Raw genomic sequence first — 27,811 nt, 5'->3', positions numbered from 1 at the left:
TGTTCTCAGGAGAATAGTGAAAATGCCTACATTGCCACCCCTTCCATTATTTCCTCAGTATTTTAATACTCACAGATTATACTCATGCAATGGATGGCCCAACTCAAAGAATGAGCCTTTCCACTATCCCCTCTGCAAACCCATCTCCAGTTCTCTTCATTATCTAAATCTCTTGAGATAATTTAGGAATCTGACTCATTAATAAAGACAGCCAAAGACAGAGCCTTATAGAAGCTCCTAAACCTCCCTCCAGGTTACATTTGTCCAAAGACAGTTGCTAACTGGGGAAAGAGGGTCATCCATCTTAACTGCCATTCATGTTGAATGCTCACACAATACACTGGGTAAACTGCCTCACTGAAATTTGGATTTAATATATCTAGTACCTCTTCCTCCTTCTTCTGACAACCCTGCCAGAAAAAGCAATTAGGTTTGTCCCATTAATTGCTACTTATGGGCCCTCGTTGGCACTTACAGAGAACTTCTACTGTATTAATTGTTCTGTATGATAATTTATTCTGGAATTTTCCCTGGAAACAATGCCAACTTTGCAATTCTGTAGTTTGTAGCTCTCACCTTTAGAAAACATTTAGTGATACTGTCTGCAAGTTCTCTAATAAGGGACTAAAATGTAATTTATCTGAATCAAGAGATTTGAACTCATTGTTCAAAGGACAAGAAAAGAAGAGACAGAATGCCATAAGAGATGGGAATTGCTGAACATTAGAAAGTCAGAGCTCTGTCTAACGTTTGCCCTGGGAATAGGTAAAGATTGCGCTGCAGAGATCGCTGACAGATGCTTCTGTTTCCAGGTCTAATTACTCTTCCTCTGTCTCTCCTTTCTCTGCATGAATTTCTCCTACATATTGTTTTGGCTTGAGCTTTATCCTATTCCTGGCCCACTGGAGAAGTTTTAATAACTCCTAATAGTCTCCTGTATTCAATGAAAGCACATCTACTTCTTAAGAGTCTGTAAAATCTGACTCAATTTTTAAGACTAAATATCACTTATTATATTCCCCAGGGACTCCAGCTGACTCAGGATGCTGATTTCCTACTATCTTTCCCTATCCTGCCCCCCAAGAACCTTCCATGATTATGTCTATAGATTTGTTCCTGCTCTTCCCATTAGAATTCCCTTCGATCTCTCTATTAATAGTCTATCTATCTTTCATATCCACCTCGTGCAATACCTTCCTTGAAGTCTTGCAGTCACTTGCCTTCTAACATTTTTATGTACAAGTATTTACTAGCAGTTTATTATTCAATTAATACATTTTATTACACTACATTGTCTCATTACTTATATCTCATTACTTATATACTACATTGTCTCATTACTTATATCTCGTTACTTATATCCTTTAAAAACATTTAATTTGTGTCTGTGTGTATCTTGTTTCATGTTGTATTTTCCTATCAACTAAACAACAAACAATTTGTTGTAGCCAACATGTTTTATATTTCTCCCGTACTCAGCAACATTTAGCATGCAAGGAACTTTACTATGAAGTATACAGTAGGCAATCAACATTTATATACTTGAATCCTGGATCACCTGGTTTTCAGCCTATGGCAAGATATTCATGAATATTTTTGTGCAGTAGGTTATTTCACAAGATTCCACACTTCAAAAATATTTAATATTGGTAAATCTCTAAGTCCACAGGTCAGCTGAAGTTTTTCATTTGCGCAAAAGAAAAACTCTGGGTAAGGCAACTCTTTAGATAATAGAAACAAATATAAAAGACTAATATTATGCGGGTATTTGTGTGTGAACATAAATATATATTTTTCATTCAACTCCTGAGCAAAGAGACATTTGTGAACTTAAGCAAATTCAATCACCTAAAGTGCAGTAGCACAAAATTCCTAGAAAATGTACTAATTGTTGAATCAAATGTATACATATTGGCAACGCATTGCGTTGGAGTAGCTTAAAATCAGGCATCTATGTTTACATCTTAGTAGATTGAAAACTGCATCTCCTTCACTTCTCTATTAGTGACTCATATTCAAATATGATTTTTTTCCTGCAAGAAGTCAGGTAATGCAAAAATATAAATTTATTTTGGTGCGCTTATGTCTTCCTCCTTCTAGAAAAAAGATATTGTTACTGTTTTATCATGGAACTTAGTAGGAAGACCACACACACACACATACACTCAATCACAGAAAGACTGAATATAACTACAGGTAAGTCAAACATTAAATTGAGTTCTTAATCTCTTCATTCTGGTAAGAGAAACCTGCTGATGCTATGTGAGACTATGTCACAACAATGTGTAAATTATTTAAATGAAGTTTCCAAGATACAGATAAATAATACAGAAGTACTCTACATCCAGGCAGTGTTCTAAGTATTTAATGGCTATTAGCTTGTTTAGTCCTCACAATTACCCAGTGAGGTAGATGCTATCATTTTGAAGAAACAGACACACAGAGGTTAAGTGACTTGCTCAATGTCGCAAACTTAGTAACGGTGGAGCTAGATGTTAGACTCAAGCAGACTGGCTGTGAAGACTGTGATCTTCACCACTTCATCCCACTGCCTCAACGTAATACTTCGATGGTTAGCACTAAGACTGAATGATTGAAGAATGACACTGAATGGCTAAAAAAAAAACCTCTTTCACATGAGGGTTAATAAGCTATCTTGATCCATCCCAAGAGTGTAAAGACAGAAGGAGCTCAATGCAAACTTGTTGAGTTAAAATGATTACATTTCCCCACATTATATTTTATAGATTAATATATAAAAATGACACATTTCTTAGAATCATATACATTCTTAACATTTCTTATCATTTTTATTCTAGAATAAAATGTGCCTTAAAATTTACAGTATCTTCCCATTGCTGTCATCAAGTTGTAAGGTGGTTATGATTACCTCGTACTTTCTAGTAAGCTCAGGAAAGAACCAGTATCAGAACTTACAGGATGGTATTACAAGCTTAGAAGAAAACCCCAGAGATGGCAGAGACAGGTGTGCCTGTTTTTTTTTTTGTTTGTTTGTTTGTTTCAGAAATGCTACATCACCAATACTCTTAATGGTACAGAGGACTCAGCTGCCTTGAGTTGAAAGTTATTTCAGGGGAGTCAGACTTCCAATTGGAAGAACTTTCAGAAACATTTTAATCAGTCTAGTTCCACACTGCATTTTACTTGGCTGATTACACAGTGTCTACATCTAAGTGAAATTCTCCAGCAAATATAAAATGTAAATCCCCAATGATACAAAAGCATTGTGTCCTGGATCAATGGCAGCATTTTTTCCTTTCTTATTTTTTTTGTCTTTTTTTGAGACGTGGTCTTACTCTGTTGTCCAGGCCGCAGTGCAGTGGCGCGATCTCAGCTCACTGCATCCTCTGCTTCCCAGGTTCAAGCGATTCTTGTGCCTCAGCCTCCTGAGTAGCTGGGACTACAGTCACATGCCACCACGCCCAGCTAATTTTTATATTTTTAGTAGAGATGGGGTTTCGCCATATTGGCCAGGCTGGTCTTGAACTCTTGACCTTGTGATCTGCCCTCCTTGGCCTCCCAAAGTGCTGGGATTACAGGCGTGAACCAACACACCCAGCCCATTTTTTTCTTTCTTCATATGATATAAAATCATGGTATATGTTACATTCCGTGAGCTATTGGAATCAATGGAATAAGGCATATCATGTTGAAAAGATCTACACTCATGTACTATTAGCAATAGGTTTCTGTTCATTTTCCACTATAGGGAGTTTTCCAGACACCCACTGTCCTCCATCCCCAGTAAGCTGCCTTTTTTGGGACAAGTGGCAGCCGTTGAGTTCAGACGGCCAGGAGTATATGTATTTGCTCAGTGAGAAATTAATTAAGGTAGATGAAACCTGTGACCTAATTGGTTGCAACCACGGCCATATTTTTACAGCAGTAACAAGTGTATATCTACCTATTGCTATGTCTGAGACTATTTCCTTCACAGGAAAATAGATATATTGAAATCAAAACCATTTTCTCAAAATTATGGTCCTGGTAGTTTTATCAATATGTGCACTTTCATATTTTGACTCCCATAGAAATAGTTAGAACGTACACAGACAACCTCCTGAATGTTACCTTCTCTAACACTTTCTAAATGTTTTCTGTTTGTGATTCTTTTGAACCTTTCAGTCTACAATCCTCTAGCTGTAGAAACAGATATTTTTACATTGAGTACTTATTTGTTTATAGGATTTATAGTCAAGGCAGCAAATACATTTCAACTTAAGATGCACTTTAATGCCTGCTGACAATACAATTAAAACGTCTCATCTAAGTTGGATGTCCCAAAAACCTTGACAAGAAAACCAATAAAAGTAGTCTTGCATCGTGTGTCCTATTTCTTTGGAGAATAAAAGGAATGCAGATTAATTCAATGACAAACCATGGGCAAAATATTTTAATTGATCGTCATCAAAGAGAACATAAAATCCTCCGTTCTTCAAATACTTATTACTGTTTTTTTTTCTTTTCTATTTTTAATCTTGCAAGAATCAGTGCCTGGAGAACTGGCTCGGCTATTTTATACAGGCTTTTGCTACTCAGACAAATGTGACAGCCCTCAAGGAAACTTAAAAATGTAATTAAGCCCCAGATGGTTCTTTTAACCTTTACTATATTATCAAAGCACTATAAGCTTTAAAATTTAAAAAGTCAATTTATCCTGCCACCTATTCACTTCCTTCACCCCTCTCCTCATTTGCCTTTTCCAAATTGAATTCATAGGTCAATTTTGATATTCACCTGTTCGCTCACATTCACTAATTCTTTGCCTTTCACTTGCTTCTTTGTGCCTGTTCTGCAAACCCCCAGTTCTGGTTGGATCCAGCTCTCTGCAAATACAGCTTGACTACTTTTCCCAGTCTCCTTGACAGCTGGCTGAAGCCCTGGGACTGATTTCTGGTCAGTGAAATGTCGGCAGAAAAGGTGGCAACTACCCCCGGGCTTGACCCCTAAACATCTGTGAAACTGTCTGGGTCTTTCTCTTATGATCGTGAAGGAATTTTGGTGGACTTCGAGGTTAGGAGTAGGGTGTGGAGGGGATGTAGTTATAGACACTTGATGTGGACAATTGACGATGTGAAGAGCGACTGCTACCCCTAAACCTCTTTGGAATGTGACAACAGAGAGGAAAACAAAAGCCTTCACTTTGTTATGTCTCTGAGATTTGGGAGCTGCTTGTTAGCTTCATTTGCTTACCCTAATCAATAGAATTAACACCAAGAATGGGTCCTTCAATGCTACAAGACAACCACGCGACATTTCCCAAGCATGTTCACACTCCTTGTCTCCTAAATGATTTTCTCATACGCTTCCCCCTTTTCTTTCCTTTCCTCACTCTCTGCTGATGAGCTTGCTTCTTATTTAACTCAGAAACTGGAAGTAATCTAAGGAGAATGTCTATAAGCTCCACACGATCATGTCTCCTTACTCACCCAGCATCTGCCTGGATGGGCCCTGCTTCCCTGGTGTCAGCGGTCCTGTCTAAGATGACTCTGTAGGTGTATATACTGGTAAATGTTGCGGATCTTTACGTCAGACTCTCAGCTCTTCTTTCCTGTATTTGGACAATGGAAGACCTTAACGGAGATTCTCTACAGATGCAAATCTCCCCTACAAAAGACAACTTTGCAGGGCGACTTCAATCTGCTGGCCATGTGGCAGCCGTCTCAAAATTTGTCAAAGAAATATATTTGGGGATAAAATATTTTGATTTTCTTTCCCGCCCCCCCTCCTTGGCCACAAGATAGGATCTTGCTCTGTTACCCAGCCTAGAGTGCAGTAGTGCCATCATGGCTCATTGCAGCCTTGACCTCCTGGGCTCAAGTGATCCTCCCACCTCAGCCTCCCAAGTAGCTGGGACCACAGGCGTGTGCCACCACACCCAGCTAAGTTTTTAATTATCTGTAGAGAGTACATCTCCCTATGTTGCCCAGGCTGCTCTCAAACTCCTGGGCTCAAGTGATCCTCCCACCTTAGCTTCCCAAAGTGCAGAGATTATAGACATACGCCACCATTCCTGGCCTTGATTTTCTTCCCCAGAGTATTCAACATCTCATATATAGTGAATTGGCAAGGAGGAAATATTTTAACATGCAGTACTCTAAGCCAGGGGTTCTTTAGCTACAAAGGGCAGCAGAATCACCTGAACGACCTATTAAATCATGGATTTCTGAGCCCCACCCCCAAATTTCTGATTCAGTTGTTCTGGAGTGGGACCTGAGAATTTACGTTTCCCCCAAGTCTGCAGGTGATACTTCTGCTGCTGGTCCAAGGACACACTATGAGAACCATTGTTTACGGCTTGCTACCAAAAGCGTGATCCCTGAACCAGCAGCACAGACATTATCCAACAGCATGTAAGAAATTCAGAATCTCTGTCTGTCTCAGAACTATTTAACTGGAACTTGCATTTTAACTAGGAGGTTTAACAAGGTGCATTCTCCAGGTAATTTGTATGCATATTAGAGTTTGAAAAGCATTAGGATTTTAAAAAATAGGAGGGATGTAGGACTGAATGTTTTCCTTAAGGCAAGGAGAAGTCTGGCATTGCCAAGTGTAAAGAAAGCCAAATGTTGAGAACTGTTAAGTAATATAATTACAGTCGTTCTTTTATCCGTGGTTGCACTTGCTACAGTTTTGGTTACCCTTGGTCACTGAAAATAGGTGAATACAGTACAATCAGATATTTTGAGACAGAGAGAGAAACTACATTCATAAAACTTTTATTACAGCATATTGTTATAATTATTCTGTTTTATTATTGTTGCTGCTGATCTCTTACTGTGCCTAATTGATAAACTAGACTTTCTTTTAAGTATATATGTATAGGAAAAACAACATATATAGGACTAGATACAATCTACAGTTTCAGGCATCTACAGGGGGGGTCTTGGAATGTATCCACCTCAAATAGGTGTAACACCAAAGCAGCAAAAAACTAACATAACTAACTTCATTTTTGTTTAAGGGACCTTTACCTATTCCCACAGATAGGCAAGGATAATTATAGAGCAGTGAGATCATACACAAAAACAGCAATCATGTAGTTTTTCAGAAAGAACTCTGAGTTTAAAGGACAAGTAACTATGTTTTGTTAAAGATTTATGGAAATACTGTGACCTGACCAGGGAAAAGAAGTTCCCAACATCCTCACACCCTCACTGGTGCCCAGATATCTGCAGTCATCAGTTACCTCTTGCCCTGAGCCCTCCATCTTCCTCCTGCCGTTGACATAAAAAGAGCCAAAAATTTGGAATGACTTAAGATGGTACTTTAGCATGATAGTGTGCCATCATCTGGGTTTGCTGGCTTTCTGAATAAACGTGCTTTTCCTCCCACCAACCCTTGTCTCTTGAGTTTGGCCTTTCAAGCAGTGAGGAGCCAAACTTGGGTTTAGTTACAGGGGTACTACTGTACATACTATACAAAATAGCTATAATTATATATATATCTTAATTATATGTGTGTGTGTATAATTTGTTTGTACTCTATAAATACATGTTATCTTTTTTTAAAAAAAGACAACCTGTGTAGGTTGAGGAGCTTCAGAATCCCTGGAAGCACAATTAGCAATCCAGGTGACCAAGAGCTCAGAATGAGGCAGAATTTCTAGGGTGGCAGCAGGCCAAAGCTAACACTGACTGACAGCTGAGCTTAGAAATTGTCAAAAATGGAGAAGCCACTGGGCAAATTGCCTGCTACATGTCTGGCACTCTTACTCCTGGGAACTATAAAAGACTTATGCTTGGGCTGCTTCTGTCTTCCATGTTCTTACCTTCGTGGAAGATGTAACGATGGCAGGTCTGAGAGTAGGAAAAGATGTTCGGTAAGAGAATAATTCTGGACAGTCTCATTAAAAGGCTGGAAGCAGAATTGGCCAACAAGAGATATATATTGAGAGAACTTTTCTAACCCCTTAAGCTTTCTTTGTCCAATATCAAAAACTCTCACTGATAGTAATAAAATGCAAAGGAATATTAAGAAAGTGTTACATAAGTAAATGTATCATTTTATCTCCTAGTGCTCTGGAGAGAGCATTTTTTAAACAATTATATTCTTTTTATGTTTAATATATTAAAATAACATTTAGTATTAAAATAATAACCAATATTTGAAACAAAAAGTCTTTGAAAAATTCTTAAGTTTCTTAAGGAACACATTATACCAGGTGAAAGAAGTTTGCTTAAAGATTGCAGGTAATTGTTACTCAAATCTTTTCTAATACTGGTCAGAAAACAAAGCTTCCCTAATCTCTACAATAAAATGATATGAGTACTGTAATAATATGTTCAAAAGCTAGTATATGTAGGATGCTTTAAAATTATACTAGCATAAAGTTTTTAAAAATAATTTCAACTTTCATTTTAGATTCAATAGAGGTACATATACAGGTATGTGACATGGTTATATCACACGATGCTAAGGTTGGGGATGCAAATGCTCTGTCCCCCAGATATAGAATGTAGTACCCAAAAGTTAGGTTTGCAACTCTTGCTTTCCTTCCTTCATCCGCATTCTGTGAGTCCCCAGTGTCTATTGTTGCCATATTTATGTTCATGAGTTCTCAATGTTTAGCTCCCACTTATAAATGAGAACATGCAGTATTTGTTTTTCTGTTCCTGTGTTAATTTGTTTGGGATAATGGCCTCCAGCTGCATCCACATTGCTGCAAAGGACATGCTTTTGTTCTTTTGTATGGTGTTTAGTAGTCCAACATGCATATGTACCACATTTTCTTTATCCAATCCACCACGGATGGGCACCCAGGTTAATTACTGTGCTATAGTAAACAGCACTGTTATGAACATAAAAGTATATGTCTTTTTGGGAGAACGATTTATTTTCCTTTGGATATATACTCAGTAGTGGGATTTCTGGGTCGAACGGTAGTTCTGTTTTACATTCTTTGAGACATTAAAAGCTTTAATTTCTTTGCTTTCCACAGTGGCTGAATCCATTTACATTCCCACCAACAGTGTATAAGCATTGCCTTCTCTCCACAGCCTTGTTTTGTTGTTGTTGTTGTGGTTGTTGACTTGTTTTGGTTTTGTTGATGATTTTTGACTTTTAATAGAGACCTACAGGATTATGACATAATGGGACCATCTTTAGACAAGCAAAGATGGAAGAGCATAATGCCTGGGGGTGGGGTAATTAGTTGCGATACGAGCTACGCAGCATGCAAGGTTGACGTATTGAAATGGAGGATGCACATACGGCTGTGATTGCTTTGCCAAGTGGACTTGAAAGGTGGTCATTCTTTGCTGTGTATAACGGGCATCCTGGTTCTCAGGTTGCCAAATACTGCTGTGAGCATTTGTTAGATCACATCGCCGATAACCAGGATTTACAGGGTCTGCAGGAGCACCTTCTTTGGAAAATGTAAAGAATGGAATCAGAACAGGTTTCCTGGAGATTGATGAACACGAGAGTTATGTCAGAGAAGAAACATGGTGCAGATAGAAGTGGGTCAACAGATGTAAGCGTCTTACTTTCTCCCCAACATAATTATTTCATTAACTATGAAGACTCTAGACGTTTACTTTGTAGGAACAGGAAAGTTCATTTCTTCACAAATTGCAAATCCGCTAGAAAAAGAATGAATTCAGAATGCAGGTGGCTCTGTAATGCTTTAGCATGTGAAAGCCTCTCTGGCTGTATCCAAAGCCCTTGGGGATTTTGATTACAAATGTATCCATGGGAAAGGTCCTACTGGGCAGCTTGTCTCACCAGAGCCTGAAGTCCATGACACTGAAAGATCTGAAGAAGATGATCACTTCATTATCCTTGCATGTGATAGTATCTGGGATGTTATGGGAAATGAAGAGCTCTGTGATTTTGTAAGATCCAGGCTTGAAGTCACTGATGACCCTGAGAAAGTTTACAATGAAATAGTCGACACCTGTTTGCATAAGGGAAGTCAAGACAACATGTGTGTGATTTTTTTCTCTGGTTTCCAAATGCACCCAAAGTATCACCAGAAGCAGCGAAGAAGGAGGCAGAGTTGGGCAAGTACCTGGAATGCAGAGTAGAAGAAATCATAAAGAAGCAGGGGGAAGGTGTCCCTGACTTAGTCCATGTGGTGTACACATTAGCCAATGAGAACATCCCCAGACTGCCACCTGGAGGTGAATTGGCAAACAAGCAAAATGTTATTGAAGCCATTTATAAAAGACGGAATCTTTATAAAAATGATGACAGTGACTCCACATCAACTGATGCTATGTGCTAAAACTGCTCATCTAGCCATGGAGTTTACCTTCACCTCCAAAGCTGAGTACAGCTCAGCTTTGTTGAACCTTTTAACATCCGTCCTCAACTTTAAGGAAGGGGATATGACATGGGTAAGAATGATCACACCAGAGAACTTCAGCAGTACAACTTCTGGCTCATAACTGATTTTTTGTTTTTGTAAATTTGACACTTAAGTAAACATGATTTCAAACCATAATTCAAACATACCTTGATCCTCTAGGTAGTACCAGGTGGTACTAATTCTACTGAAACTATTCCAAAAAAATCTAGGAGGAGGGACTCCTCCCTAACTCATTCTATCAAGCCAGCTTCACCCTGAAACAAAAACCTCACAGGACACAACAAAAAAGGAAAACCACAGGCCAATATCTATGATGAAAATAGATGTAAAAATCCTAGCAAACTGAATCCAGTAGCACATCAGAAAGTTAATTTACCATGATCAAGTAGGCTTCACTCCTGGGATGCAAAATTGGTTCAACATATGCAAATCAGTAAATTCGTCACATAAACAGAACTGAAAACAAAAATCACGTGATCATCTCAATAGGCATAGAAAAGGCTCTTAATAAAATCCAACATCCTTTCATAATAAACCATCAACAAACTAGGCATCAAAGGAACATACATCAAAATAATAAGATCCATCTATGACAAACCCAGAGCCAACATCATACTAAACAGGCAAAAGCTGAATGCATTTCCCTAAGATCTACAGCAAGACAAAGATGCCCACTCTCAACCACTTTTATTCAACATAGTACTGGAAGTCTTTGCCAGAGTAATCAGGCAAGATAAAGAAATTCAAGGCACCCAAATAGGAAAGGAGAAGTCAAATTATCTCTCTTTGCAGACTTAATGATTATATACCTAGAAAACCCTAAAGACTCCACCGAAAGACTCCTGGATCCTGATAAACAACTTCAGTAAAGTTTCAGATACAAAATCTTTGTACGAAAATCAGTAGCATTTCCATACACCAATAACGTTCAAGCCCAGAACCAAATCAGGAACACGTTCTCATTTACAGTTGCCACACACACAAAAATAAAATACCTAGGAATACATCTAACCGAGGAAGTGAAAGATTTCTGCAAGAACAACTACAAAACACTGTCGAAAGAAAATACAGATGACACAAACAAATAAAAAAATTCCATGCTCATGGACTGGAAGAATCAATATTGTTAAAATGGCCATACTGCCCAAAGCAATCTACAAATTCAGTGCCATTCCTATCAAACTACCAATTTCATTCTTCACAGAATTAGAAGAAAAAAAACTAGTTCAAAATTCACATAGAACCAAAGGAGAATCAACATAGCCAAAACAATCCTAAGCAAAAAGAGCAAAGTTGGAGGAGGCATCACAATACCCAACTTCAAAGTATACTCTGAGGTGATAATAATCAAAACCACATGGTACTGGTACAAAAGCAGACACATAGACCAATGGAACAGAATAAAGAACTCAGTAATAAAGGTGTGCACCTATAGCCATCTTATCTTTGACAGAATCAGCAAAAATAAGCTGTGAGGAAAGTACTCCCTATTCAATAAATGGTGTTGGAATAGCTGGCTAGCCATATGCAGAAGAATAACCGCAACCTCTCACCACATACAAAACTTACCTCAAGATGAATGAAAAATGTAAATGTAAGACCTCAAACTATGAAAATCCTAGAAGAAAACCTAAAAAACACCAGTCAGGACATCAGCCTTAAGAAATAATTTATGACTCAGTTCTCAAAAGCAATTGTAAATAAAACAAAAATTGACAAGTAGGACATAATTAAAGAGCTTCTGCACAGCAAAACAAACTATAAACAGAGTAAAGAGTGTAAACTTTTTAAAAATCTATTTAACCATCTCACACCAGTTAGAATGGTGATCATTAAAAAGTCAGGAAACAACAGATGCTGGAGAGGATGTGGAGAAATAGGAACACTTTTACACTGTTGGTGGGAGTATAAATTAGTTCAACCGTTGTGGAAGATAGTCTGGTGATTCCTGAAGGATCTAGAACCAGAAATACCATTTGACCCAGCAATCCCGTTACTGAATATATACCCAAAGGATTATAAATCATTCTACTATAAAGACACATGCACACGTATGTTTATTGCAGCATTAATTACAATAGCAAAGACTTGGAAGCAACCCAAATGCCCATCGATGATAGACTGGATAAAGAAAATGTGGCACATATACACCATGGAATACTATGCAGACATAAAAAAGAATGAGTTCATGTCCTTTGCAGGGACATGGATGAAGCTGGAAACCATCATTCTCATAAAATTAACACAGGGACAGAAAACCAAACACCCCATGTTCTCACTCATAAGCAGGAGTTGAACAACACAGACACAGGGAGGGGAACACCACTGGGGCCTGCCAGGGGGTGAGGCAAAAGAGGAGGAGAGCATTAGAACAAATACCTAATGCATGCAGGGCTTAAAACCTACATGACAGGTTGATAGGTACAGCAAACCACCATGGCAGGTGTATACCCATGTAACAAACCTGCACGTTCAGCACGTGTATCCCAGAACTTAAGGTAAAATATAAAAATGAATCTATTTAACCTTTTATGCTACTGAAATTTTCTGCTTGTATTTCAACCTTACATAAGAAAAATATATTTTGTTGTCATATTAAATTCTTTAGTTCTTGCTTAATGTGACCTTTCTCATCTTCAATTGGAAATGTTTTGATTTCAGAAATTATAGCGCATGTTGAAAGAAGTTACTGATTTTTGTCATCATATGTATGCTTATCTGTCTAATTAGGATGATAGTACTAAATTTACTAAGATATGTGTGCATTTCAATGCAATATTAGGCTTTAATTTTTTTTCCTGGGAAAGAATGATGAAAAATTGCCACAAAATTGCATTGCCGGAAAGATAAATTCTATTTGTTTTAATAAAGCACGTTTTAGGCAATTTGGAAATGACTCACCCCTCACTGTTCACTTCGTGCACTGGTTATGATGACCAACATTATGAAGGTAACTAACCTCATGAAGGTAAACTTTTAGAAGAGAGGAGTGAACATCAACACTGACCTTGGTCTTATATTTAATTCTCTGTCTTCTTTGAGCCAATATTACCATAAGTTGTTTACTGAATCACACGTTTACCTAAAATAAATCCTTTTTATGCCGCAGTTATTGCAGGTGACATAGTATACACCTACTAATTGTATATGCCTCTTGATTTTTTTAAGAAAACTTTTCTGCTGGAATGACCACCGAGTATGAACGCAGTTAGTGATTTTCTGCTACATTTAGCCACGTTCTGGGTACTTGATTACACAAATGGCTTTGCTTTTGAGAAGATATGCTTCATTTGAGTTACCTATGAATTTTTTCTTTTATCTGATTAATGTTCCTTAGACTGGTCACAGATGGACTATATGACCAGTAGGGGCATATTTCTGGCAAAAAAAAAAAAGTAATTAATCCTGTGTTTGCTTATTCAATAGATGAATTATAGCCATGCCCCTCTTGAGGAAAAATGAGGATACAAAAAATTAGCTGGGCACGGTGGCGTGCACCTGTAATCCTAGCTAGTTGGGAGGCTGAGGCAGGAGAATCACTTGAACCCGGGAGGCAGAGGTTGCAGTGAGCTGGGATCACGCCGCTGCACTCCAGCCTGGCGACAGTGCAAGACTCTGTCTCAAAAAAAGAAAAGAAATTTTGCAATTATTTATATTTCTTCCTATATACAATTTTCATAATTAATCTTTGAGGAGTAGCTCAATCTCAGTGTAATTTACTTAAGCACCATGCACAAGCAAAACATTTATTAAGAGCTCATGTTTTGACAAGAAAGAAGGCATGTTAATTTCCTGATAATTATTTAGGGCTCTTCATGCCCATAATGTGGGTGGGATTTCACCCAGTGACTCTTACAGCACGACTCTCTATTGCAGATTAAAATATGTTTAATGAATCATCTTCCAAAACCAAAGTCTCGGGCATCCCTCTTTCTACTCTTACGTGGTGTGTCTTCACAGGCGCATGAACGGAACAAGAGTCACGTGTAACAGCACGGCAGCTTCCCAGCTCCACACCCTCTCCCATTTAAATATTGGCCAAGATTCTTCTCGAAGAACAGCTGGTCAGAAGTGAAGGTCCCAAAGGACCTGATAGGAAAAGCTAAGAGACTAAAAGCAAATCTAATTGCAGCTATTCATGCCTTTTCACCAGGATTTCTGAATCCTCTCTCCCATTTCAAAATCCCCACGATAGCCTTCAGGATCCTTGTTGATTCAATTTCTTGAACAGCATTGCCTATTTATACCCGGCTACAAGAGCATCCAAATGAGAGAAAACTCATCCCATGGTATCAGGAGGTTCTCTTGCAGCTCTAGAACCCCTCTGAGCCCAGCAAGGGTACGTTCTACATGGACTGCCACACCCAGCCCCATACAGCTCTCACAACCCTCATGGTGCTTTCATCCTTATGCTTCTCTGGGTTTTTGATCAAGTTGCCTGCCATATACTGCCTCCAATTTACCCAGCCATCCACAGACACTGAGCCATCACATTTACGAAAAAACACAAGATACAAAAATGGACATGTCACTTTGTATTTCTCTCTTTTTTTTTCTCAAGGCTACTAATTAAAAAGTTTTAACAAAAATAGCAATGGAGCCCAATGAATTCTCCAAACAGTTTGTGAAACTCATTCATCACACAAATATGACAGCTTCAGCAGACATGCTCTCAGCCACCCCACACATTGATGCATTCTTTAAACTGTTCCTGTTACAGCCCCTCAACTCCATACCACTAATCTCCCAAAAATGCTCTCAGGATTTAAGCTCTAAGAAAATAGTAAAAATGTATCCATTACAAATGCCATGGCAGCGTCAGGAAATTACCGTATATGGTCTAAAAAGGAGAGGCGTGCGTAATCCACCCCTTGTTTAGCATATAATCAAGAAATAACCATTAAAAATGGGCAACCAGCAACCCTTGTGGGTGCTCTGTCTATGGAGTAGCCATTCTTTTATTCTTTTACTTTCTTAATAAACTTGCTTTCACTTTACAAACTCACCCTGAATTCTTTCTTGGGTGAGATCCAGAACCCTCTCTGGGGATCTGGATCGGGACCCCTTTCTTGTAACAGCTAAAATAGTGCAGGCATGTAATAAGAGCTCAATAAATATTTGTTGTATAGATGATTAAGTGACCAGAAAAGCATCTAGCCATATTGCTTGGAGTTTTCAGAACAAGCATGTTATAGAACCTTAGGGTGTGGAGGGAGACCAATAGAAGACAATGAAAACTGTGGCAAGTTAAGAACATGTTGCATATTTCTTGTGTTTGAAAAAGGGTGTTACTATAGCTGTGCCATGAACGTCTCAGTATGCATAAAATACTAAGAAGGCACTTTTTATATTTCTACATTCTGCAGAGCAGGCTGACAGGTGAGCAGATAGCACAGACCAGGGATAAGTAGTCATAAAATCAGTATTGCTCTGAAATCTGCTCATCCCTAGGAGAAAATGTTTTTCTTTCTTTCTTTTTTTTTTTTTTAAAGACAGGGTCTCACTCCCAAAATCCAGGCTGGAGTGCAGTGGCATGATCTCAGCTCACTGCAGCCTCAGCAGCCCAGGCTCAAGTGATCCTCCCACCTCAGCCCCCCAAGTAGCTGAGACTATAGGCATGAGCCACCATGCCCGGCTAATTTGTGTATTTTTTGTAGATACGGGTTTTCACTATGTTGCGCAGGCTGGTCTCAAACTCCTGGACTCAAGCAATCTGCCCACCTTAGCCTCCCAGCCTTAGTGCTGGGATTACAGGCAAGAGCTACCATGCCCAGCCTGAGAGAAAATGTCATCTATGATGTTGTCAAGTGGTGGTATCAGAAGAAAGCTACAAAGAGCAAATTTGGCATGAATCTTTTATGTAAGTTTCTCTATGTTTTGTGAGCGTGGCACTGATTGCCCTGTGTTCTGGACTATCCATTCAAGGAGCAGCTATGGATATAGAGGTAGTGTCTCCCCTGTAACAAAGGATAAGTTTGCTTACAACTTTGGAAGATAGAGGAGTTATGTCCCCTTGGACATGCTTGCTGCCCGTTATAAACAATTGGGGTTCCCAAAGCTCTCAGGGTCCTCTCCTGTAGTGCAACCTACTGAATGTGCAGGGGCCATCTGACCCTCTTTGTGTTGCCCTGTGGGACTTGGAGCTCAGGAAACTGGCACAAACATGCACATGTTCTGGCTGCTGCTGTTGTTTGATGAATTGTCTTTCATCTATGACCTGGGGTCTTATGAGGTCTATCGACATCCATGAAACTGGGGCAGGCACACTTGTTAGCTTGCAACTAGAGTAAGATTTCAGACCCTTCATAGTCCTTGACAGTTCTGGCATTAAGTGTGGGATGCTGAAAAAGTCATGCCTTTCTAGAAGAGAAAGAATGAGGACTTTATGGGCTGATGGACAAGATTTGAGAAAAGTCCATGGGAATAGGTAGTAAATATGTTGACCAAATTGTATGGTTAGCTGGACAATAAATAGTACTTCACCACTGCCCACTGACGAGGAAAAACTGGGAAGGGGGTCACAGCTGACAATACCAGGAAGCAGGTTCAAAACATCTAACAAATAGTATGTCATTGTTGTCAACTCCTCCAGGCAGAGGAACTTCCTTGAGAAACTGGTGGTCAATCCGGTGCACTGAATTATAGCAACTTGTACTAAGATTCATCCTAGGCCAGCAAAAATGTCCACCCCTTTCTGACAACAGTTTTATAGCTGAATGTCTATACTGAGTGTGAAAGGAGGAAACTTTGGGACCATTATTCTGGGCAGAACTAGGATAATTGTTAGAGCGCTGGCTGGTTCCCTTGAGACATGTGCTAAGGAGGAATGGTAGCAGCTGGGCCATCTTACAGCTCAATGCCTCCTGCAGTCCATCAGGCTAATTGTGGATCCACTTAAGACAACCCTACACGGACTTAGAGTGGTTGGTTTTTGTTTTGGGTTTTGTTGTTGTTTGTTTTGCAGTGCATCCTGGCTGCTATAAGGGAGCATTAGCCTTGTCAAGGAGATTTCTTGATATAGTTAAACTCTTGGAGAAACCATAGAAGAGACATTGACTAGTATTCTGGTCTTACTGCTCCTGATTGGATTTACAATGTTGATATAGGAGACCCACTGGAGAATGAGATATTGACCCAATGAAATTTAGATAAATTCCTGCGGGCAGCAGCATCACCATGGAAAATTTCCCTAGTCTTTATATGGAAATAAGGCAAGAGCTTAAGTGATACTAGCATGGAAATAGAGTTGCAGGTGTCCCACATTAAAGTGAACTCCTTTAAAATGTTGTCCCTGTAAGAGCCAGTCAAGCCTTAGTTGGCCCGAGGATGCAAACCTAGTGGTCCCGGCTGGAAAGCAGTGTGACTGCTGATGAGTTATAGGGTTCTTATGGTGTAAATAAGAGGACCCCCCCCACACACCCAGGAGAGTACTGACTGGGATGAACAAATTTGCAGTTCCTTTGGTTGAACCAAAGCTGCCGCCACGCTGCTCAAAACTGAAGGTAAATGTGAAGTCGCTTACACAGAGCTTCCCTCTTTCTCTGTACTATCCTTCACTCTTTCTCTACCCCGATCTCAGCGACTTTATGGAGACAGAAGATTAGAGGTGGGGTTGAGTCTGTTTCTAAGGTGGAATCAAAGGTTATATCCACCTACTGGAATAAGTTTGGGAATTTTGAAAAGGGGAAGGATTCAAACTTTTATGGCTTTTTGGATATGGGCACTTAGGGAACTAGCCTATGCAGACCCGTGAAAGAAAATGGGTCTAGATTCAGCTCATGAGGTTGGGGAAGTGTTCACTGTGCGAAAAGAAGGTTAACATGACCTTAAGGGTCTATTCAATGTTCTGTTGTTGATGCTTCCACATATGAATGTACGGTAGACACTGATGTGTTATATGATTGTACTTCTTTGTCCCATATTGCCAGAGGCAATGTTTTTGACTGAGAAGAGCCACATGTAGAGAACCCCTAGTGGGACATAGAAATAGCTCCGTACCTTATGTTTCTTTCCTCTCCTAGGTGTTCTATCGGACATAGTATAGCATCTTAGGGAAAGGAAGATCATAGCCTGTTGAAGGACTTAAAGGTAGAAAGAATAGTAAGAGATGCATTAGCCCAATACAACAGCCTTATATAGTCGGTGGAAAAAAAAACCTAACAGGACTGGATTTTCACAGGAGTCATCAACTTGAATTCAGTTATTGCTCCCAACACGTCAGCCGTTGCGGATGTTGCAAAGGTGATTGAATTCATTACACAGATTGATAGCACTTGCTGTGTTGTCTTAGACACTGCTGAAACCCATTTTGACATAGGCCCAGCACCAAGGCATCTAGAATAGTTCTCATTCATGTGGTAAGGTCTCCAATGTATGGTTGCTGTACTCCCCGACTGTTGCCTAAACTTCCCTGCCATTTGCCACAAGGAGCAGGTCAGGATTTAGCACGAGTGCTTCTGTTCTTTAATTTCCAATGTTTTTCCTATCTGTGTCATGTTGCCAAGTCAGAATGTTCATCCTCAGTGGCCCTGACTGTGGCATTATCACACTTCCTCTAGCAAAAGTAACTGATAAATCCTGAAAAAATGCAAAAGAACTGCTTGCCAAGTAAAGTTTTTTATGGAACCATGTGGGTGGATTCACAGTGCTAAGTCCCTCTGGCATCAAGGAAGACTGCTGTCTCATCAGACCTCAAAGCCAAAAAAAAGAAAAAAAGAAAAAGATGCCACATTGCTGGACTCTTTAGGAATTGGAGACAGAATGTACCTCTCTTGGGCATTCCACTTGTCCTTTATATTGGCTTATCCAAAAATCATAATTTGCATAGGGCCCAAACCAACAGTCTCCACTGAAAGCTGTTCAGCGAACTGAAATACGCTTTCCATTTTGGGAACTCACAGGCTTAACTCCATCTTGAGTGACCAGTGATTTGCTACTTTGTGCCTCTGATAAAGAGAAGCTGCCTCCATTCGGAGGTGCCCATTAGGGTCTGGACTTGTCCTCTTCTTGAGACAGACGATGCAGTTAGGGAGAGGGTAAGTCCTGACCCCAATGGGAACGGTGAATGCAGACAGCTTCTCTACCAGAGGCTCCAAGTAGCAAATTATAACGCCCTTTATAAAGCAGCTTCTGACATAAAAAACATGACCTACTGAGGCCTTGTGACTTGCTGGTCTGATATCCACATTGGGCAGCGGGCGGGTCTGTTTGGAATCAATGACAAGTTGGGAAGGGCCCACCGAGCCTTGGCTGGCAAAAGGAAGCAGCATATTTATGAATGCATCCAGGCTGGCCTGAGCAGTATCTTAGCATCCTGGTAGCAACTTTACATACAACATGGTAACTATCTTTTTGGTAGAAACTTTGTCTCCCTTTCTGTCACCTGAGGCTAAGCTGCTACCTCAGTGGAGCCTTCAGTCCACAGTGGTCCCCTAAATGCCTATGGCTGGTTCACTGATGGTTTGGCTGAGTTGAATTACAACAATATCAGCAAGGCTGCTGGGGCTGTTGAATCTCAGTGGCAGCTATGCAGAAAATGAATGTGGTTCTCTCAAGTATGTGGGCACAGCTCAAGGCCATTCTCACTGATCTGGCCAGTATAGTCCTTGGTGAACTTTGTTACATTTTTATTGACTCTTAGGCTGTTCCCAGTGGCCTAGGTGTTTGGCATGCCACTTGGAAAACCACAGACTGACAGATTCCATATGTCCTCTTTGGGATCAAGAACTGTGAAAGTAATTCACAGCTGCTAATCAAAACACGTGGACCACTCACCTAGATACACCACATGAGTCTGTTTTCTGGTAAGACCAGCTGGAAGTAAGCAGCTGACTCAGCTTGCACCACCCAGATTGTTACCTTGGCTGCCTGAATCCATCATTGTATCAGGCATGCTAACATATCCACCGACATAGACTGGATACAAAGGAAAGGACCCTGTATTTCTGATGCAGAGGCCACCATGCAAGCCAGACCTGGGACTCCTGCCAGAAGCTGAACAAACAGCTTACCTGAGGGTAAGGCCACATTGTTTGGGGTATGGCACAAACACATTCTTGGAAGCCTACACTAAGCAGTCAGGTGGTGGTGGTCCTTCACCACTCTTGATTTAATTTAGGTTCCGCTGTGGCTGTTTGAGTTTGATCATCTGACCCTGTGGCATTCTGGGGGGTAGACAAATGCTCTCCATGAATATAAAGGACAGATTGGACTGGCTGACCTCATGCAGTCCCTCCAAAATAAGGATTGACTGCATTACTCAAACTGATCTGGAAATGCCAGGGCTTACCAGCCGTTTGGGCAGCCACACTGGAGGCCCCGGGACTTTTGCCCAAAAACTGATGTGGGTACTACCTGGGGCACTCCAACGAATGTAAACAATGCCTTCTTTCCAGGGACTCTGTGTCCTCGTGAGAACTGTGCTTCTTGTGTGTAGCCACGCATTTTTTACTCTCTTCTTGAAAACACGGTGACTCATACCTTCTGGTGGTCATAAGAAAGTTCACAGATGACCTCAAAGATCCCTCCAAAATGAGGCTCTCATTAGTTTATCCAAAGAGTCTCCTGGAGGGGTAAGTGACACATTTTTTAATGTGCAACGTGTGGGCAGTTATCTGTGCATTGGAAGTCCTCCAATTAGAAATGGTGATACAAAATTTGTCCCTGATTTTAGCTGAAGTGATCAGTGGTGCCAACTTTGCCCTGGAAGACAATAAAATCAGTTTCAGCTCACTGGCCAGGGTTGTTATGGATTATACAATTGTCCTACATTTTCTGCTTGCAAGCCAAGGCAGGGTCTTTGCAAATGCTAATGCATCCTGCTATACTTGGATTAATGCCTTGGGTGAAGTGAAAAGGTCGATACAGAAACTGATGGTTTATGGGATTTGTTTAGCTGGTTAGGCCTGGGATCCCAGGAGCCATGATTGAGGTCACTACTGCTGCTTGGAATCTTGTTGGTAATAGCCTCAATTAAATACTACACAAGACAAATTGAAAGAATGTGTTCCAACCTCTTTCCGTCAGATTAATTACAGTAGTTATTAGAGTGGCATACTCATGGAAAATTCATCAGAATCCAGGATGGTAGAGAAGCAAGGGGCAGATGTTGGGAGATAACCCATCACAGGATTCTCACATTTATCCATATCTTGTGACTTTCTTTGTTTTGGATTGTCTTTTAGAGGATGTTTGTCCAGAAAATAGCCATGGAAGATAGTTCGTCTCTCTAGAGCAAAGGAGAGACGTATTTGCTGTCTCGTATAATAAAGGTATTTTCCCCCCTGTGGATCAAAGGGCAAATGTGCTTACTATCAATTATAAAAAATTTGGGTTCCCAAAGCATTATTAGGCTTCCTCTCCTATAATGCAGCACACTCACATGCAGGTGTCATTGGGCCCTCTTTGTGTTGCTGCCTAAGAACTGGCATTTATGAAACCAGAAAAAAAATCCTGTTATTCTGGCTATGCTATTGCTTTAAGTAATAAACCATCCTTTATCTCTAACAAGGAATCTAATGGCTTTTACCTACCTTCCTGAAATGGTGGCCAGCTAAGTTGCCGGATTGCAAGTAGGAAAGAATCTCAAACCATTTATAGTACTTGACAATAAGTTCCAGTGCATTCAAATTATGTTAGACTTATCCCTCTATTTGGGAGGAATCATCAATTTTGTATGTAAAAATGCACTCTGATTTTCCAGTTAGAAACATGGAAGGCCCAACAGTCACCCCTCTAGGGTGAAGTTTACTAGAGAAAATAAGAGTGGCTGTGTTATTGTGGAAAGACTTATCCTCAAAAAAAGCTGGATCCTCAAAAAAACGGGATGAGTCAGAGTCAAAAAACGACCAAGAAGAGAGTGTTTCTCAAAGGCCCAAATGATGCTGAGGTCCTGAGCAGATTCCCTAAGTTTAATTCTCTACTGCATTACATAGTAGAATGTATTGTGTTTTAGAAGTGCTGCAATTGAAATGTACAGTTCATTCATCCATCAGAGGGAGAAAAGCATCAGGATATGGCAGGCAACACTTGGGGCAAGGAAAGGTACTTGTCATCTGACTCTTTCTTCTTTAGGAGGCAGAATCTTGGAGCGCTCTTCTCTTTTCCCACTTTGCTCTAGCCACACTGACCTTTGGTTTCCTCAAACACACTAAGCCTTTCCCCATTATGGAGATACTTTATGACCTATGACATCTGCCTGAAATGTTCCTTCCCATGATTCTAACAAGACTAGTTATGCTTGCATGCATTCAGTTCATTCAGCAGTTAGTGAGACCCTATATGTGCTCCTATATGTGCCAGGTGTTGTTCCACATTTTGGGGATAAAACAATAATAAAACCCCAAAAGAAGCTATGCATTAATAAAAAATCCTGCCCTCATGGAACTTATATTCTAGTAGGGTGTAGGAGCACAGACTATACATTATGTAAATAAATAAACAAAGTGCTGTTTCAAATAATGGCAAATGCTGTACAGAAAAATAAGCTGGCAAGAGAGAGAGTGAATGGCAGAATAACAGTGGGGATTTTACACAGGGTGTAGGGAACATCACACAAGCAACATGGGAACAAAGAAGAGAGGTCAGTGGTGAGCTGTGTAGATAACTGGGGGAAGATAGGTCAGAGCAGAAGAAATAAGAAGTGCAAAGGCCCTGAGGTGGAAGTGTGCTATGCTGTGTGCAAGGCTGGAGTACAGGGGAAAAGGAGTGGAGAAGGAGGAGGAGCTAAGGTCATGCAAATACTGAGGCTGAATCATGTCGAGTCTTGTAGTTATTGTAGGGACTTGGCTGCTGCTGTGTGAGAAGCAGCAGAGTTTCCATAGTTAGGTGGGCTGAAATGATGGATGATTGGATTGACTGAGGAGAGAAAGAACTATGAGAGAGACAGGAGAGCATATGTCAGAGTAAGTCACAGAGCAAACAATCTAGTGCAAAAGTGGAAAGAGGGACCTTACATAGAAGCACAGGAAGTTCTTCCTCCAGATCAGCAGGAGAAGGCAGCAAAAATGGGTAGAATTGGTTGTTGGGAGAAGAGAAACATCTCTTCTCATTGGTTCTATTTTTGTTTTCCCCCAGAGAAACAGGAGGTAGGCGCCTTACAGAGGGTGAGAAAAGGAGATATTGGGGCTTTGCAGAAATAGTAGGTGGTCGGGCATGGTGACTCACGCCTGTAATCCCATCACTTTGGGAGGCCGAGGCAGGTGGGTAACTTGAGACTAGGAGTTTGAGACCAGCTTGGGCAACGTGGCAAAACCCTGTTTCTACTAAAACTACAAAAATTACCTGGTTGTGGTGGTGATGCACACCTGTAATCCCAGCTACTCGAGGAGCTGAGGCACCATAATCACTTGAACCCAGGAGGCAGAGGTTGCAGTGGGTTGAGATCGCACCACTGCACTCCAGCCTGGGTGACAGAGCAGGGCTCTGTCTCAAAAAGAAACAAACAAAAAAACGAAAAGAAAAAAAGAAATAGTAGGTATACAAGGGACTAGAAAAATGCAGTATGATTGTCAGCAGTGTCAAGTGTCCTCTAGAGGTCCCCGATCATGAATTTCATATGAGACTTCTCATTATGGCTGTGTGTTTTTACTCTAGGCTAAATTCAACTGTCAGTATAGGTGAGAAGTAAGCTAGTCACTGTTTGTATCTCAAAAATGATCTCTTCAGATAAATCTTTTTGCCACTCGAAAGTGGCCACTCAGTAACATCAGCCTGATTTAATTCTTTGCCTTACAAACACCACTATGCATGTTTCTTGTTGACTTAGTTGTCTTTGATGTTACCTGTTTCTAACATGGAAATATGAGAGCCAACCTATTTCTACCTCATTCACTGTTAAGTTTTAAAACATTGCTTGGTATATATTTGATGTTCAATAATATTAAATAAATTATTACTTCCATTAAAGGTGGGTAGAGGGTGTGTGTGTGTGTGTGTGTGTGTGTTAGAGGTTGGCTAATCAGAGATTCATTTGTTTTCCAAATACAAATTCAAGCTGGCAAACAGACATCCAACCCATGAACCACAACACTCTCCTACATGTCTGTGGCTTTTTTTTATGTTAGAAAGAAAAAGGAATGTCTTGAACGCTCCTTTAAATACTAAGAAACAGTTCAGTAATTCTTTGTCACCGGTTGAGTTTTCACACTGGAAGAGAGATGATGCAGGTTGGCCTCTTGGATGACCTGAGAGATTACCACTTGTTTGAAGCCCAGTTGATGAGCTGGAGTGGTGAAAGAGCGTGTACTTATTTTATGAAGATACAAAAACATAATCAACAGAAGACCTATGACCTTACCAGTAGGTCAAAGCAGTAATTTTTTTACAACGTAAAAGGCAGAGCTTAAATGAAGTTTCTTAATTTCTCACCTTCAATTATTTTTTCTTATGTGTGAGACAAGAAGAAAGGAAATGGTTTTGTATTTGAGCATTGGCAATGATGTGAAACTTACCGGGAGAAAATCAGGCCTAATATAAAAGAGAAGTTCTAACAGAGCTGGCCAATGATGGAGCAGTATCTCTCGAAACAGTGGTCTCCCCAGTCTTGTCATCCAAGCAGAAACTGGATTAGATGATTTCTAATCCAGTTTACAATGCAATGTAAACCACACATTCAGATGAGCAGAGCTATGCATATAAATTAACATACTGTGAAAACAACTCATAGGGCCTCTACTAATCTTGTGCATGATAGGATTACTACTTTTTACCACTATGGATAATCATATTCCACTATGGATAATCGTATTTCAAGATGCCTGTGTGTGTGTGTGTTTGTGCGTGGGTTGGGGGGGGCGCTAAGAGGCTGGTTGCCCAGTTTGCCTATTATCTTTGCCTTTGGTTCTTTTTCATCATTACATCAGCAACTATATTAACAAATAGGTAAACAATAGGGCAGACAAATTGGCGAAGGTAATTCAGCCATAAACTATTTGGGTGGGGGAATATTGTGAATTTTTTTCTAAGATAAAATCTCTATTCTCTCCATCCCCATTTCCATTACCCTGGGTTTAGTTCATTCACTTTTTGGCCTTGAGTACTGCAATCTCTTCTATACTTGCCCCATACGGTAGTGTAAGTGCCATTTTTGAAATGCAAATTGAACCATGCCTCTCTCCTGCTTAAAAACTTCAGTGACTTGTTGATGGGGTCAGTATCTACTCCTTGAGAAGTCTTCAGGCTCCTTCAGGATACGAACCCCACAGTTGTTTCCAGTCACCTCTATGGCCCCCTCCTCTCCTCACTTGTGACATCTCAGCCATATTGAATTAATTTCATATCCTCAAATACACCTTGATTCTCAAGTTTGAGTTTTTACCAGTTCTATCATTTGTGTGCTTTCCTGGCAAGCTGCTACCATCCTTCAACTATCACTAAACATTGCACCGGTACCTCTACCCTTCTAGGTAGAGGTTGTGAGGTAGGAGACTGGCAGGGCTTACTTCCTGGGTCAAACAGGATGAAGTGAAGAAACTGGCCAGAAACAATAGGTGGCACTGACGGCAACCTCTAGTTACCCTCAATGCCCATTAGTACAAGACACTCCCATCGGCACCATGACAGTTTACAAATGCCATGGTGAGGCCGGGCATGGTGGCTCATGCCTGTAATCCCAGCACTTTGGGAGGCCAAGGCAAGTGGATCATGAGGTTAAGACATGGAGACCATCCCGGCCAACATGGTGAAACCCTATCTCTACTAAAAGTAAAAAATTAGCTGAGAGTGGTGGCATGTGCCTGTAGTCCCAGCTACTTGGGAGGCTGAGGCAGGAGAATCGCTTGAACCTGGGAGGCGGAGGTTGCAGCGAGCCAAAATCACGCCACTGCACTCCAGCCTGGTGACAGAGCAAGACTCCATCTCAAAAAAAAAAAAAAAAAAAAAAAAAGGCCTTAACAATGACCTGTTAGTTACCACTCCTTATTCATGGCAACAACCAGGACGTTACTACCCCTTTTCTAGAGATTTCGGAATAACCTGTCCCTTAACTTGCAAATAATTAAAAGTGAGTATAAATACGGCTGCCAACAGCCCACATGCTTCTGGCTCTGGGTTCACTGCCTAGGAGTTAGCCCTGGTCTGCAAGGAGCAGCTCTGGTTCAATAAACATTGCTGTCTACCACCACCAGCTCACTTTTAATTCTTTCCTGGGCAGAGTCAAGAACCCTGACAGCCTAAACCCCAATTTAGGGGCGTGTCTGCCCTGCATCAGTTGGGTGTCTTCTTTCCGTACCGTTTTTCATTGTCATCTGCTTTTCTTTTTCCTTGTTACTTTTAAGGTCATTGAGAGCAGGGTCTATATCTGTCCTGTTTCTTATTGCAGCCCCAATGCATTTCATAGTTCTTGGCTCCTGGCAAATGTTTCATACATCTTTTAAGTTTTGTTCATTGCAATAGATTTAGAATTGTAGTTTGACTATATATATATATATCTGCATACACAAATATATAATTGACACAGTCACAGGTTGTATGATTTTGTTTATTTTTTGTTAGAATGATTTGAATGTTCAGAATGCTTTTAATTCATAAGATTTCATGGCTTCATTATGCTAATGGCCTTAATTAGGCATCTGTATGACATCCTCTGTCAATCTTGTGAGCTGTCTCTTAAGACTGGCTGATAAATGAACCTACAATTAAAAAAACAAAAATAATGTTCCAAAGTGGCTGGGTTGAGATGATATGAAACACCATTGTTGAAAATGCTATTTTCTATGATTTCATTCTGTAAAGACTGGAGGCTTGGCTGCTCTTGATCATGTGATCACATAGGATATCAGATCCATATTACGGTACACTGAACATTGCAAGCAACTGCTGAGATACACTCACTTTGTTCCTCTGAGTCAGTGACATGAGCCGCCTCGGTGGAATGCACTGTGGCAGGTTATGGGTGACATACAGAAAACAGAAAGGTTTTTACCTAACACTCTGGGAAAATGTGGATAATGCTATTTGTTCATAGTCATGGGCATGCTTGAATGACGACACGGATTCTGTTTCCTTGAAATGGCAAGAGCTTTTAAACAAGCATATGTGAAGCTAAGCCTGAGGGTAAGAATTGCTGGCAGCTGAGGAAAGGGGAGGCGTAGCTTGCCAATGCCATCTGCTTAATTTTCCTAATAATCTAACACCTGCCAATGAGACTCATCTTGTACCCCAAATGTCTGAGAATTGCAGAAACACCAGCAATAACTTCTTTCAAGCCCCTCGCCCTCATTACTAAGAGAGTGGCTTTGCAACTTACCTACTTAGTGTGAAATGATGAGGATGTTAGCATCTCTCAGTGCCATTAAGCCCTGTTTCCTGAGAACCTACAGCATTCTTGGCACATTCTGTTTGAACTAAGAGACTGATGAAATAAAAGGCTGCAGAGAGAAATTAACCTTTCACCTGATAGTACTCTTCCTTTATGTTTCCATCAGCCCCGGGGTAGGCAGTCTGGATGAGGATCTGATTTTCTTCAGTTTTGTTGTAAAC

The 27,811-nt window shown here is 40.4% G+C and overlaps 1 protein-coding gene and 1 pseudogene across 3 annotated transcripts in view; one reads left to right on the top strand and one right to left on the bottom strand.

The window, feature by feature from the left end:
- Positions 1 to 27,811, bottom strand: part of TUSC3 (tumor suppressor candidate 3) — a 434,904-nt gene that overhangs the window by 35,696 nt on the left and 371,397 nt on the right. For 2 of the 3 annotated variants that reach the window (NM_001413684.1, NM_001413679.1), the window contains one exon: positions 6,725 to 10,033. The exons of the other annotated variant lie outside the window; for it this stretch is intronic. In NM_001413684.1, the coding sequence (NP_001400613.1) occupies positions 9,877 to 10,033 (157 nt within the window). In that variant the 3' untranslated portion in view covers positions 6,725 to 9,876. Of the gene's footprint in view, positions 1 to 6,724; positions 10,034 to 27,811 lie in introns of those variants that run through there. 3 annotated transcript variants of the gene reach the window in all.
- Positions 9,065 to 10,059, top strand: PPM1AP1 (protein phosphatase, Mg2+/Mn2+ dependent 1A pseudogene 1; annotated as a pseudogene).

Source organism: Homo sapiens, chromosome 8 (genome assembly GCF_000001405.40).
Source record: "Homo sapiens chromosome 8, GRCh38.p14 Primary Assembly".
Classification (NCBI taxonomy): domain Eukaryota; kingdom Metazoa; phylum Chordata; class Mammalia; order Primates; family Hominidae; genus Homo; species Homo sapiens.
The sequence above is the reverse complement of the archived record's forward strand: the minus strand, read 5'-3'. Positions and strand labels throughout refer to the sequence as shown.